The following is a 15,326-nucleotide window of genomic DNA, read 5'->3' as shown; positions in this document are numbered from 1 at the left end:
TAACATTTTCCACTAAGGAGGAGGAGGAGGAAGAAAAAAATAAGCCCATCAGAGAATTCCAAACCAGAAAAGTGCAAGAAGTGGCCAGGATTCTTCTAGGAGAAGGAAGATGTCATAACTGTTATTATTATTATTATTGCTGCCCTGAGATAATGGAAAAGTAATATATAAATTTGGAACAAGGTTGGAACTTTCCAGGCATTGGGAAAAGATGTTTATTTGGAAGAAGGTGAATAACATTAAAACCAGAAATGGAATGGCTACTATTATAGACAGAAAGTTTATTTGTAGTGATTATCTAGAGTCATTATTCCAATAGTGACTATCAAATCAGTGGGAAAGCAGTGCTCTTTCAATGTTGCCAAGGTCATGGAAGGGTAAAATTGTCTGTTGGCAGTTGCAGCTGTCATACTTTGTTGCTAGAAGAATTGGGTTGTGTTAAGATGATAGGTGATGGTTAAAGCTGGAGCTTTAGTCCTAGCTTTAAGACAGGCTACGTTTCTTGTTTTCATCTCCATGTGGTGGAAGGAAGGCAGGAAGGAAGGCAGAGAGTTAGTGTGATGACCCTACATGTATCTACACTTAGTTTTTTTTTTTTCTTTTTTGAAATGTGTTGCTACAAAGAGAGTTGCATGGTCCCTGCAAAGGCCTCTAAGCGTGTCTCCATGTCCCTTTGGAGGCAGAAGCTCTTTAATTGGTTGGATTGCTGGATTAGCATGTCTATAGCCTGATTTGTTGGCCTCTTCTGCAAGGTCAACACTGGCTACAGTTATGCTGCTTTTTCAGAAATAAGGATAGTTCTAGGGTATGTTTAACAAATGAAGTGGTCTAGGCAGCTTGAGAGTGAGGTCACAGCATAGCCACTACTTCGGGGATGGCAGCTTCCTAAGATGCCTGGTCAGAGGAATTCCCTGGCAGCAGCACCAGAAGCAATGGCTGTTCTCATGGTCCATGGTCATGGACTGTCTGGCTACCAGAAATGTTCCACTAGTATTTGGTATCAAAAACTTTTATCTTGTCCCATACCTGGAAAATTTGTTATCCTTCTGGATTTTACCAAGGATGTGTTTTTGCTCCCAACTGGCTTTTTCTGATTTGGTTGAACTTATTGATCAATTTGGACATCCCATTTGACTGATTTGATTTACACTTGATCAAATAGTCTCATTCATGTCAGTCAAAATGATTGAACCATTTGCTTGAAGGTGACTCTAGGTTGTCACCAGGCCGCTTAGAGAGTTTGATGGAAAGCTCTGAGGTCCAGAAAGAATCCTACCCTCTGAATGTGGCATTTTGGGGGCATTCTGCACAAGAACTGGTTTCACTTTGCTCAGGAAGAAAGCCTGTGAGGACTTTTAATGATTTTAGGATTTTTTTTTTTTAATGGTGAGCTCATTGATTACAGTTCTAAAACTCTTGAGGGATGAGGGAGATGGTGAATTCTGGCATTGAGGCTGGCCAACCTTGTAGTCAGTGAGGCTCTTTGGCTCTGGAGTGGGGCTAAGTTTGTCTCTGGCTGTGAATAAAGACTTCTTGAGTTTACATAAAAGGGGTTTGCTCATCCCCTGAAATCCCCATGAGAAGGACTGGGGAAATCAGAGCCTTATTTAACACAATATAATTTAAACGCCACAAAACCTCTACCCCTTTTACACGCATAGAACTCAAGTGCCAATTGCTGAGCCTTGAGCAGGTCTGCTTTTATTCTTGTGCAGGTTTTCCCAGGGTATTACTGTCAGGGTGAGGTGGTCTGGCTGCTTACCGTAATCCGAGCCCTGGTTGCACAGTAAGATTTTAATTTTTCTTGAATTCTAACCAAGTGGCAGAAGTCAAATGTTGGAGTGCAAGGGGAATCAGATACTTAAAATCATTTTTATCTGCTTGGATCAGATCTGCAAAACCACTAAAAAAGCCAACCACTCGTTCCATCTGCCACATAGTGCAGGGAAAAGAACTGGTTTCACTTCTATAGAAAAACTATATCATTTTCAGATACTTTGGAAAATTGTAAACTATTCTCAGACGTTTCTTTGTAATATGTCCTCCGCTTCTCTCCACAAAAAACATAGGAAAGATAGGATGATGATATCAGGAAGTATAAATCACATTCCCTTATAATATCTTTTTTGCTGTGTGTATGTTTCTTTTCTTTCTTTCTTTCTTTCTTTTTTTTTTTTGAGACGGAGTCTCGCTCTGTCACCCAGGCTGGAGTGCAGTGGTGCGATCTCGGCTCACTGCAAGCTCCGCCTCCTGGGTTCACGCCATTCTCCTGCCTCAGCCTCCCGAGTAGCTGGGACTACAGGCGCCCACCACCACACCTGGCAAATTTTTTGTATTTTTAGTACAGACGGGGTTTCACTATGTGAGCCAGGATGGTCTCAATCTCCTGACCTCATGATCTGCCCACCTCGGCCTCCCAAAGTGCTGGGATTAAAGGCGTGAGCCACCGTGCCCAGGTTTTCTGTGTATGTTTCTAATGCCAATATTAAGAATGATGAGGAAGAAATGTTAAAGTGGCATGATGGCTCCATGTGGATGATTTGCACTCTGATGGCCTCATGAAGTCAGATTGCCAGAAGCAAACTGGGACATGAAATGTAGGACATGGAGAGGAATATCAGAAAATTTCATGCTGTTTCTAAGGAATTGTACCATTTGCAAAATATGCTGATAATATTTTGGATTGCAGAATCTCCATGTCCATGCTGTGTGTGTGGTTGAGTTGGAGTTTGTAGAAGCACAGCTTGAAAATGGCCAGGTGGCTAACCACTGGAAAAAGGACATGGCTCTTCAAACCAGCGGCTGAGCAGCCTTCCGGATGGGTTGGAGGAAGGGTTTAGGGGGTGCAATGTGGTTTGAGAAAAATCGACATAGCTGAGGAAGGGTGAGATGAAGAGTAAAGGAGAAGCCCAAATAACATTTCATACAGATAATCACTCCATATAAGCCCTGAATGAAATGATGGGAAAATATATTGTTGCTAATTCACTGGCTTTGCTGTCATTACTGGATATCTAATTTCAGCAAAGGCTTTGGGGTAAAATGGTAATAGAACACATATATATCACCAACCAACCTTCATCCTAAACATGATTGCATGTGAAATGGCTCTGACAAGGCGGAAGGCAGAGCTGATCAATGTTAGCATGAACATAGTAGGCTTAGACATTTATATATGGCCGGGCGCAGTGGCTCACGCTTGTAATCCCAGCACTTTGGGAGGCCAAGGCGGGCAGATCACTTGAGGGCAGGAGTTCAAGACCAGCCTGGCCAACATGGTGAAACCCTGTCTCTACTAAAAATACAAAACAATTAGCTGGGCGTGGTAGTGGGCACCTGTAATCCCAGCTACTCAGGAGGCTGAGGCAGGAAAATCGCCCAAACCCAGGAGGTGGAGGTTGCAGTGAGCTGAGATCATGCCATTGCAATCCAGCCTGGACAACAAGAGCAAAACTCCATCTCAAACAAACAAACAAACAAACAAACAAAAATTTATATACATTTTCTTTGTATCATGCCATTTATCAAAAAGTACGAACATGGCTTTGAATACGGCTTCTGGTTTTGTTTTTCAATTCTGTGAAGGATATGTGAGGTATGGGAAGAAGCATGGACTTGGACAGATCTAGATTTGAGTCCCAAGTCTACCATTTGTTACCTGCTGGATCCTGAGCAGGCTGTTCAAACTGTTTCAGCCTCAGTTTCCCTATCTTCAAACCAAGGATAACAGTACCTACCTTATGTATAGTCATGAGGATTAAATAAAATGATGAATCAAGAGCACTAATTTTTATCTTTTTAAACCATAATATACAGTAGGACATCCTTTTTCCTTTTTTTTACATTTATATTTGGTGTTCCTAGATGTACACACACACACACAGAGATGCATATGACTTTAACAAAAATTTCATGAAACAATGCTTACTCTCACTAATGATACACTCTGATAGTTTCTGTTCTATTCTATTTCACATTTACAGAAATTCTGGTCATGACCCACTAAATTTATTTTACAACCCACCAAAGGGTCTTGACCCATAGTTTGAAAAACATGAATCCGGCACATAGAACAGTGTCTGGTACACAGTCATTGACCTGTAAGGAATAAACACTGCTCTGGGGAAGGAATGATGTCATGTAGTAGGTTTACTGAGGCATAATTCTTTGGCCAAAGGAAGTTGTAATAAAACGCTAAAAGTTTCTTAATGAGAGTAGCATGAAGGTTGCCAATATGATAAAAGCACTTTCTCCTCCTCCTCCTTCTTCTGATTAAGGCACAAAATGGAAAAAAATGAGGCAAAGAGACTGAAAAAATTAGAAACAAAACATGATGATCTTTTCCTTAAAATAATTTAATTAAAATTTTCTAGCTTAAAGACTGATTTCAGAATGGTTAATATTGCAATTTTGGGCAATAAATATTTAAAGGGGAGAAATCCAAGGAGGTTGTTTACATACAGTTAACTAAAAGCAGAAAAAAGTAGGGCCTGCTGAGTTTCTATCTTCTAGATGATGGTAAAACATCCTTTTCTTGTCTCCTTCTGCAGAAACAAGTAGAACATGAATTCAGAGTGAAGGAGATGTTAAAGGTATGGTTGGTGTATTGGTTTTCTACTGCTGTTATAACAAATTGCTACAAGTGTAGATGCTTAAAACAACACAAATTGATTATCTTATCGTTTCCATGGGTCAGAAGTCCGGGCACATCACGGCTTAGTGGTCCTTCTGCTCTGAGTCTCACAAGACTGAAATCAACATTTTGGCAGGGCTGCTTTCCTTTCTGAAGTCTCAGGATGAATCCACTTCCCAGCTCCTTCAGGTTGATGACCTGATTCAGTTCCCTGCAGTTGTAGAACAGAGGTTCCCATTTCCTTGCTGGCTGCCCACCGGGAATCAGGCTTTTCTCCTAGAGGCTGCTCCATTCCTCCTCATGCTTCCCGTGGTGCTCCCTCCCGCGACTAATTGAGTCTCTCTTACCTCTCGAATCTAACTTCTCCTTCTGCCAACCTCTCTCTCATTCCCACTGGAGAAATTACTCTGCTTTTAAGGGCTTATGTAATTAATTAGATTGGACCCCCTAGATGACTCAGGATAGTCTCCCTAGCATAAGGTCAGCAACCTACAAAGTTTCTTTTGCTATGTAATGGAACATATTCACAGGATCCAGGGAGTAGGGCATGGGTATTTTTGGAGGGCCATTAGTCGGTCTGCTAAACATGGTTCAGAAATCATTTTCTCTTTAAAGAAGAGCTCTTACAGTCATGAGATTTTCCATGGGTTTTAAGTACCTACAGTTACTGGATGAATCTTAAAATTAAGGAATTTTAGAGGCATCTTAAGATTCATGAGGTTCAACTTCCTCATTTCACAGATGAGGAAATCAAATGGAATTACTTGCCTACACTTACAGGAGACTGGTAAAAGAGTCAGTGGTACCTCCCACGTTTCTTGATTTCTGGTCCTTCATGGCTCAGGTACTCAGAAATCATGATGGAGTATGTTATTGAAAGGGTGAATCATTAAGAAGAAATAAATGAAAAGTCTCAGCAATTGGAAAACCAGGATTTTGTTTTGCCTCCTTCCATATAGGAAACATTTGTAAGATAGAATTCTGGCAGTTATTTGTTGAAGGGTCATTTTATACCATCCTCTCATATTTAAATGTGAATAGTGGACATTTTTTTTAAAAAGACTTAATTCTAAATGATATCTGTGATATCAGAGATATTTAAAATTTTTCTTATTCAGATATTTCAGATAAAAAAGAGTGTTTTTTTCTTCTTAATATAGAATAAATAACATTGTTTCTTTAATGAAACCCAAGAGGATGAGGATGAAAAGGAGTGCAAGAGGACAGAAAGAGAGCTTGAAACAATCAATTCTTGGGAGTTCCTAAATGACAGTCAATGTTGTGCCCTTGCTGTCTGAGGCTGATATTAACACACAAGACCAGTAGTAGTTTCTTATTTGTCAGTGTCAATGGAAGTAGGAAAGAGGTTCTATCATCTATCTATCTATCTATCTATCTATCTATCTATCTATCTATCCATCTATCTATCTATCTTTCCATCCATCCACCTATGAATTATTCTTTCATTCCCACTTCATTTACTCTGTACTTACTGAGAATCTGTTATATGCCTGGTGCTATGCTAGGGGCTGGGATACGTTGAGAAATGAGATATGGCCTTCGCATGAGATCACAAGATGTGATCTTCGGGGAGCTCACAGTTTAATCAGGGAGACAGATATTAGAACAGATGTAAAAGCATGTTGCCCCAGAATTGTAACTAAAATCCCAACCTGAAAGGAAGATGCTCAAGTAATCCTATTTTTTAACAAGAGGCAAATAGGAGCCAGATATCTCCCTCCAGGGCTTACAAGGAGGAGGTAGAACTTCCCTATTAGCACCTGCCACCCTCCAAACACAGGATGAAGGGGTGGGAAGGGGAATGATGGTCCCTTACATAAGAAGTCTTGAGAATGAATGGGAGACACAGGGAATGTTTTGAGTCACTAGCCTTGTGAGGAGTGCCGTATTCATGATAAGAGGTGATTGCCACTCTCCCTTCGGGTAGCACAGGGGTTGATCTCCTTCCCCATCATCAAGTGAAGGGGTTCCCCACAATCCTGTGTAGAGATTGGGTGTGTCTGTGCAAGGCAGGGTCACTGGCATCTCATTCCTTAGGCATCAGACTTGCTGATCTGCCCCTGAGTACCAGAGAAAGGGAAGAGAATTGGAGGAAGACTACAGGGCTGCAGAAAGAGTACCACAATCAGCACAGCCACCAGTTAGTCTGGCAGGGGTCTGTGAGTCTCTAGTGGATAGAGTGGAACCTGCAGAGATGGCTGGGCTTGAGCCCTTTTGATGCTACTCCACTTGAGAGAGCTACACACAGGATAAGGGGACCCCATCAGCAAAGGGCTATGGGAGATGCAGCATGAATGACAGGATATGGGAGGATAGAAGAGGTGAGGCAAGAGTAGCATTTGCCATGTCAACAAAACATGTAGTCAGAAGGCCCCTTCAGTGCTCTCCAGTCAACATATTCATGAGCCTCACAAAAGAGTCAGCTTTGGATTCCTCCCCACGTGCCCAGCCTTAATGGCCAGTCAGGGTTGGCCAGAGAGAGAACTGCAATGACTCCAGTTAAGTAAGGAGCTGTTTGCTCTTCACCAATCTCCCGTATCTCACTTCCTTGTTTCCATCACCAAAGAATCCAGTCCTGAGCACAGAGGTGGTGCGGTAATGAAAGAGTGTCATCCTTCACTCTCCAAGTCCCTCAAGCCATAGGTCTGATTTGCAATGAGGGAGAGGAAAAGTTTTGAATCAAATATGAGTCCAGAGTTATTAACAGGATGGAACTGAATTTTAATAACTGAAAAGTTATGACACTTGTTCGAGGTGTTAAAGGATTTACTATTGAGTGGGGAAGGAAGATTTGACAGAGTGTGAATGAAAACAGCGATTAAAAAATTTTGTTTGTTTCCCACTGATATGAAATTCCAATTCCTCAATGCAATGGTTACAAAATAAATGCAAAACAGAGGGACTGGGCTGTAATGGTGGCAAGTACTTTTTCTTTCTTGCACAACATTTTGTTTTTTTCTAGACTTCATAAACTTGTCTTAATTATCGGTTTGCTTCAGTTTCTATTTACATATTACCAATTCGACCTCAACCATTTTTATCAATTGTCAAAATCTTCTTTCAGTCTGTTGGAGTACCTAATGTGTTCTATTACATGTACTTTGCTGAAGAAGTCTCATTTAGATCTCTTTCGACCTGTTTCAGTTTGAACTGGTTGCTCTCTGTGTCTGCTTCAGAGCTATCAGCTTGTGGTCTCCCAAGAATATTTTTCTGGGAATTTCCTTTTTTTTTTTTTAAATTTCACAATGATATACCTTATTTTGTGTCTCTTTCCATCTTCTTCTATTGTGCTGGGTGAGCACTTGATGAAAATGTATACTTTCCATCAGAAATTTGTGCCTTCCAGTTTGGGACTTATTTTTTCTCTTTTGGTGAATTATTTAGCCGATGATTCTAGTCATCTGTTTTCTGTGTTCTCTCTGAATTTATCTATGGATACTAAACTCCTTGGGTTGTACCTTAGATTTTCTTATGTGTTTTTTCCCCTTTCCATTGCTTTGAATTTTTGCTCTATTTTCTGGAAGATGATCATTAAGGTTTAAAACATTGAGGTGTTAAAATCAATTAATTAGGCTAACAATGTATTTTGGCAAGCATCCCCAAATTCCCTACACTTTGGAAGAGAAGGCTATCTGAAGAAGCCATTTAAGTTATTCTCCTGGTTCCAACCACATCTGTGTCCAAACAAATGGAAATAGCTTGAAATATTCTCTCTTTCTTTGACAGCCTCCAAAGGGAAGCATCATAGAACCTTTGGCTTATAAACATTTAGGGTTGAATGGAAAATTAGAGATTTATTATGATACTCTTTTAGCAGTTGAGGGGACTGAGACCCAGAATAGTAAAATGCCTCTCACAAGGTCACATGGCTGGTTTGTGGCAGAGCAGGAACTAAAATCCAGTGTTCTATATTTTAAGTTCAGTTTTCTTTGCAACATACCACATTATCACTCACAGTCCCTGTGGAAATTTCTTCCTTGCATCTAACTGAAATTCTTCACTGTGTGTTTGAATCCCAGTTTCCTACTGTCTTTACCAAGAGTGATGAGTGTTGGCCATTGTTCCTGGCAATAGAAAGTCTTTGTCTCTGTTAGCTGTATGTTATGTTTTCCTCTGCTGGGATGGGGCGATGTCCATTTCACATTTGCACTTCTCTGAAGTTAACAAGAAAGCTGAATAATAAAAGACAAAACTGGTAGTTACTGCTGTTTGCAGTAATTTCTCAAATACTTGCATTGAAACCAAGGTTAAGATCTGGTTCCCACATGCCTGTAGGTTTCATGCAGATGTCTCCTCTCAGGGAACAGACTTTTGCTTATTTCATAACTGGCTGAAGGCATTGTTTCCACCCTGCAAAACTCTCGCCAGGTGGACAATTCAACTGGGGTCCAGAACTTAAAATGGTAGCTTTGTCTAAGGCAATCCTTTCCCTACCACTCTGTGCCTTAGTTTTTACATTTATTGACATTCTACTAATTTTGAGTTGGGCTTTCTAAACCTGCATGCACTACCTCTGTGTATAAAAATAGAATTTGATATACTCATGCCTCCTCCTCTTACTTCCTCCTACCTCCATTTGGACCTTTTGCTGTTTAAAATATGCATGATCATTTAAAACCATGAGTGTATTCTTTGATAAATATTTTTAAAAGATTCTTGGCTCAAGAGTTGTTTTGTGTTGTTTTGGAACTGGGAAGGGATCGGGCTGCAATCCAGCACTCATTATTAGATGTTTTCTCTCTGATGTATGAAGACAGCTCAGGTGGCTGTAGCTCTGCATAACCACAAGAGGGCAAGAGAGTCTAAAGAATGAGAAGAGGACCCGCCACGGAAACAAACTCCTCTTTGTTCACCTAGAGGCCAAATCATCAGATGATCTGCAAAACCTGGCAACTCTCAAGAACAATAGAGGGGCATGTATTAAGTGACCAGCTTGCTAGTCAGACCATCCAGAGGAGAGCAGCAGACTGCTAGGTCCAAGATTTATAAGCTGCAATCTTTGGCTAGTCGGCTGACCTCTCTGAATCTTTTTCTCCTCTGTAGAAATGGGTATTGCCCATCAAGCACCTGCCTGTCTTCCTTCCAACTTTTCCCAGGGGTTGGTTCCAACGCCTAATGCCACGCTTTCTTCAATGCCAAATGTCACTCCGCTGAGAAACCTTCCAGATCCCCTCATCCTTGCTCTCATACTACTCTGCACTGACCTGATAGTCTTTCTCTGGTTGTGTTCTTATTATTTGTTTCCAAGTCTGCTTCCCTCATTTGACTAGAGCTCTTGCAGGGCAGCTACTGTGTATCTTTATACCTGGCGTTCAAGGAACTGTGGAATTCTAAGCATTTCTCTCCCTTCTTTTTTGCTCCCTCCCTTCCTTTATTCGTTTATACAGGTTTTTGTTCCAAGAATCAAGATAGGCATTAGGGAGGATGTGGTCCCTGCTCTCAGGATTACAGGTTAAATAATATTTTGGCTAAAACTCCCAGTATGAAAGAGTAAGCATAAGAGCCACATGATTAGTCATTGCACTTACTGAAATAAGCAAATGTTAGCATGATGTACAAAGGGAAGAGAAGACATATCTCATTTGGCACATACTGGGGCTCAGACCACTCTTGGCTGTAAATGTAAAAAAGATGTTTCCAAAGAAATATAAAAATATATACACAAGGAGGCTTGTTTTTCATTTAATTAGAAATGAGCAGGTGAAAGGGATTTAAAGTTCTCATAGGATTCAAAAATGCCAGAGAAGCGTGGAACTGTGCAAACTCACTGTGCTCAGTGAAGAATGGTGCAGTTAGTGGTCAAGAGTGGGGCTTTGGGGTTAGAGTGAGCCAGCTTCCTCACTTACCTACCTAGGAGGGCAGGCAAGGTGCCTCACCTTCCTAAGCCCCAGCTGTTTATTTGAAAAATGAATACGAAATAGGAGACAGTTGGCTAAAGATCAAGGGTAATGCCTGGCACATGAGGGACATGTCAGCTGTTATTGACTGTGATCATCCTTCTTTTTTGTAATTGACTTCACCACATTCAATAACTTTCCACAGTGAGGATGAGCCTTACAGGAGGTGCCTGAACATCCCAAGAATGGCAGCAGATTTTTCAGGGAAACAATCATTCTTATTTGGTTGGAGGATCTAACAACGCAGCTTTGGGAGCCCCAGTCCTGTAGTGTCCTCCCTTGGGCGTGAGAATAGAACCAACCAGGGTGGCTTGGTGTGTCACCAAGGTCTGATGCTGCCCTTCCCACATTCTAACTCATTATGAGTCAATCATCCATTAATGCATCTGAACAAATTAGCTCTGATTTATAATTTTATCTTGGGAGGTGGCGGAGTCCCATAAACTGCTTTACTGCTTCGCTGATGATCATTTGAGCCAAGGGAAACAAAGGAAGAAAAGAATGAGATTTAAGCACAAGTTTTAATCACATTCCACATATAGAAATGCAACAAGTAAGCCAGCCTTTGGAAATGGCCATTATCACAAATGTATTGTGTGTCTGAGGCTTTGCAAATGTCTCTGCTAGGACAGTATGATTGCAGAGGTGCATGGAGGTTAAATACAACTTCAGAGCAGCCTCACAGTGCCTTGTATGGCTGACATGCCTTTAGATGCCCTGTGGCTTTCCAGGCAGGAAAGGGGACCCAGTAGATGTGCTGAGGTTTTCACACCTATCGCAGGCTTCTTAGTGTGAATGTGGAGCTTACCAGGGCTAGCTCTTGCAGGCTGCAATTTCCAGATAACTGGAAGTTACACAGTGATGGTGGCCATTGGTTATTCTGATTATTACAAAGAATCAGGAAAGATATTATTTACTCTTTTATTGGATTTTCCAACATATGGCAGGGTTGGGTGTGTTGCTCTCTCATCTCCAATAACGAATCGGCTTTCTCTTGGCCAGCAACTCTTGTGCGTAGGAGGCTGAATGCCTTGTTCTCTTGGGAAAGATAGACTTAGCTGCCAGGATGAGGAATCCAGCTACGCCTGGACAGGGTGGGGTCTCCAGAGAGCAATGTGAGGGAGAGGGAGGGATTGAACAAGAAGACCTGGGCTCTGGTAAAGTTAACTTTTTAATATTTACTAGGGAGCCTAGAGTTTCAGTTGATAACTGCGTGATGTGTTTGCACCAAGTGAGCCAAATGACATCCCAGAAAGCTGTGTGAGAGAAGGCTTTGCAGTAATTCAAACATAGAAAAGGACCTGGAGTATTCAGACACCACATAGTGCCCAGTGCTACAGGCTTGGGATAGCAAAAGAACCTGTACTGCGGATTCATTCATGACTTCATTTCAGCACAATGACATTATCAGGAACATTAAATTAGTGTAACTGATGTGAATTTTATTTATAAAGTTTATTTTCATTTATAGTTACATGTTTTGATTAATATATGTACCTGTTTAGGTAAGGTCATGATAATAATAATTTAAGTAAACACTAGGAAATTACAAGGTTTTTTTTTTTTAAATGAGTTCATGCATTACTCATGTTTCAGAAAGGCTAAATTAAAGAATATTTAAAAGGGTATTTTTCTGTATCAACGTTCAATCAGAAATAGAGATCCAGTATGAGTGACATGGAATAGGGGGTTTATTATTCGATCTCATGCAACTGTGGGAGCTGGTGAAGAAGTCTAAGGAAGACTGTTATCCTTTTGTCTGGTCTGATGGCGAACCTGAAGTTGCTGTACCTCTGCAGAGCTGGCAGCTGGGGAATAATAAGCTGGGCATGAAATAGCACAGAAGACAAAGAACAAACACAACTGAGAGGACAATCTGGAACCTACGACCATCCCCTACCACCTCCAAACCTGATATGCAGAACCTGAAGCAGGAAATGCGGTGGCGGCTGGTACAGCTGCAGGTTTGGCTGCAGGCTTACACTGACAGGGTGATCCCACAGATTTGCTACAACAGCCACTGGTACCTACATCCACCTTCAGAACATAATGGCTGCTACTTCACTTTTGCCCTCTGAATCTCAGGCAAACTTCTCTTGAGGTTAACCCTAACCTGCACCAACTGTAGGAGGGAGTGTTGGGAATCTTAGCTCAAGGTTAGTTAAGTGGATACAGTACAATGCCATTGCAATGATTTAATTTCAGCTATTTCTGGGATGAGTGTTTAAGCAGAATCTATAACACAGCATATATTCACTTAATTCTTATTGAATGAATAAATGATTTGATGAACAATATTGAGGTTCAATTAGTCTCACGTCTTGATGATCCCAATTTTTCAGTTTAGCAGAGGGTTTGGCATGTAGTTCATGCTCAGTGAATATTTGTTGACTGTTACTGAATGGTGTGGCAGGAAGAGCAATGGTGCAATGGTTAGCCAATCATGAGGCTTCAGGGTGGTCCCAGTTGGCTACTACTTCACTGTGGGGTCCTAGAGCAAATCACGCCAGCTCTGTGGCCTTGGTTTGGTCTAAGGGACTGAGATGAAATAATCTCTATGTAACCCTTTTGCTCAGAAGTTTCACAGTTCAGAGAGTTTATCAGATTGCTTATAAATGGTGGGGGGGTGGAATATTTCACAAACTGAGCATTTGGAATGAGAGTTAGAGAATGTGAGTGATCATTAAGCAAAGCAGGACTGGGCGGGGCCCGTTGGGAGCCCTGGAATCCATCAGTCTGCAGGGAGACCTACCTGGAGGGTGCTTGATTAGAAGAAGAAGGATAGGTGCAGACGGGAGTTGCAAGGGAACTCGGGGCCAACTTTGCCTGTTGGAAAAATTGTGCCTCAGCTAGCTCTGCTCCATAAAGCACGATCTGACTCGATTCAAGTCTGGCTTCTAAATCGTGTTAGTTTTTCTGCAGAGCTAATTCTCTGCAGAGCAGAGATCTTTGTCCCATAGCAAGTGGCAGTGTCTTCTGAGATTCCCAGGCTTCCTAGGACACAGAGCCTTGCCTTGAAAAGCCTTCTTTCTTGGTTTGGGCACTGATTTCTTCTATCTGTCCTAATTCTGCCAGTTGCTTTCATGCATATGCTATTTGAGCTGAGCTTGGCTGATGGTTCTAAATTTTTAGATGAAAATGGTGTAGAAAGTCCTTTTTTTTTTTTTTTCAAATATGTGAGATAATTTGTAGTCTTTTGAGCATGAGACAAGAAAAATCTCCAGCTTAGGCCATGGTAAATGATAAAAAGTCATGGTAAACTCATTCCTGTTTTAGACGGAATAACCATTTCCTTATGCATACCCCACCCTGGCCACCTCCCAGGACCTCAGATGCATGAGGTCCAATTCAAGCTAAATTTAACAGTTTATCTAGAACTTAAAGTCAGTCAACAGCTATTTACTGAGCATCTACAATGTTGTTTGGCTAAGTAGGTGCTGGAAGAATCCTGAAACATAATTAAACATAATACTTTCAAAGAACTAATCATCTTCTTGGAAATAGAACAAACACATGAACAATTAAGAAATGAATGTGCATGACAGGTGGCTCCAAACATGGTGGACTCTAGGGGAGGGCTTTACAAATCTATGTGATTCACAGAAGAATTTTCTTTTACATGATGGGCATGGAACGAGGCTTGTAACAATTGTCAAAAAACAGGAGAGTTGTTCCAAGCTGGAGATGGGAATGACAAAGAGGTGATAAGAAGACATGAAAGGAGGACAGAGGAGAAGTAGATAGAATGTTAGATCGATACAGAGTAGGACTTCTGTATGTTTTTTCTCTTCTTAACATTAAAATATTAAGACTTTATTTTTAAGAGTAGTTTGAGGCTCACAGCAAAACTGGATAGAAATTCTACTGTTTCCACTTACCCCCTGTCCTCACACACCCATGACTTCCCCCACTATTGACATGTCACACCACAGTGGCACAACATTTGTAAGTTTCTGTGCTCATCTTTCCTTGATATTGTTAGACTCTTTTTTTAAATTTATTTTTTACTTTTTAGACAGAGCCTTGCCCCGTTGCCCAGGCTAGGGTGCAGTGGTGTGATCTCAGCTCAATGCAACTTCTGCCTCCTGGGTTCAAGCGATTCTTCTGCTTCAGCCTCCTGAGTAGCTGGGATTACAGGTGCGTGACACAATGCCTGGCTAATTTTTGTATTTTTAGTAGAGCCAGGGTTTTGCCATGCTGGCCAGGCTGGTCTTGAACTCCTGACCTCAGGTGATCCACCCGCCTTGGGCTTCCAAAATGCTGGGATTATAGGCATGAGCCACCGCACCTGGCCCAGATAGACTCTTTTAAGACAAGATGCTAAACTGGAGTTTAGGTATTACCTGGCACAATCCCAGTTTCGAGATATGAGCCTCTGTTTTTGGAGGATATTTTCTGAAGAACTATTGTCCGAGATAACCAGTTTAGATTAGGAATCTAGGCTGAGAACCAAATTCCTAAAGCCCATTCTATTTTTCTGGTGCAGACCCATACATCTTGCCTCTTTCCCTTCTAGCAGCTCAACGTCTATAGGTTAGTGCTCTAAAAGAACTTCACAGGTGGCAGAACTGAAAAAAAAAGCCTTTTTTCCCTCTCATAAAAATACCTCTTTACTTTATGCCTTTCCATCATCTCATGTAGCTTTCCAAAAAATGAAACACGTACATAAAGACCAACTACACTCAAAATGCTGAGTGGGTCAGGGAGAGACTGGGATCTTGATCATTAACCAAGGCTCTGTGGAGGAATTAAGTTGTTTGACTTGTAGCTCCAGG

At 41.3% G+C, this 15,326-nt stretch overlaps 1 long non-coding RNA gene across 4 annotated transcripts in view; it reads left to right on the top strand.

Annotated features, from left to right (window-relative positions):
- Window positions 1-15,326, top strand: part of LOC105372926 (uncharacterized) — a 198,874-nt gene that overhangs the window by 62,044 nt on the left and 121,504 nt on the right. For all 4 annotated transcript variants that reach the window (XR_001738473.2, XR_001738475.1, XR_001738474.1 and 1 more), the window contains one exon: window positions 4,551-4,592. This is a non-coding gene — a long non-coding RNA (uncharacterized LOC105372926). The remainder of the gene's footprint in view (window positions 1-4,550; window positions 4,593-15,326) is intronic.

The sequence above is a fragment of the Homo sapiens genome, chromosome 1 (assembly GCF_000001405.40).
Source record: "Homo sapiens chromosome 1, GRCh38.p14 Primary Assembly".
NCBI lineage: Eukaryota > Metazoa > Chordata > Mammalia > Primates > Hominidae > Homo > Homo sapiens.
Note: the sequence above shows the minus strand (reverse complement) of the source record. Positions and strands in the feature narration are given on the sequence as shown.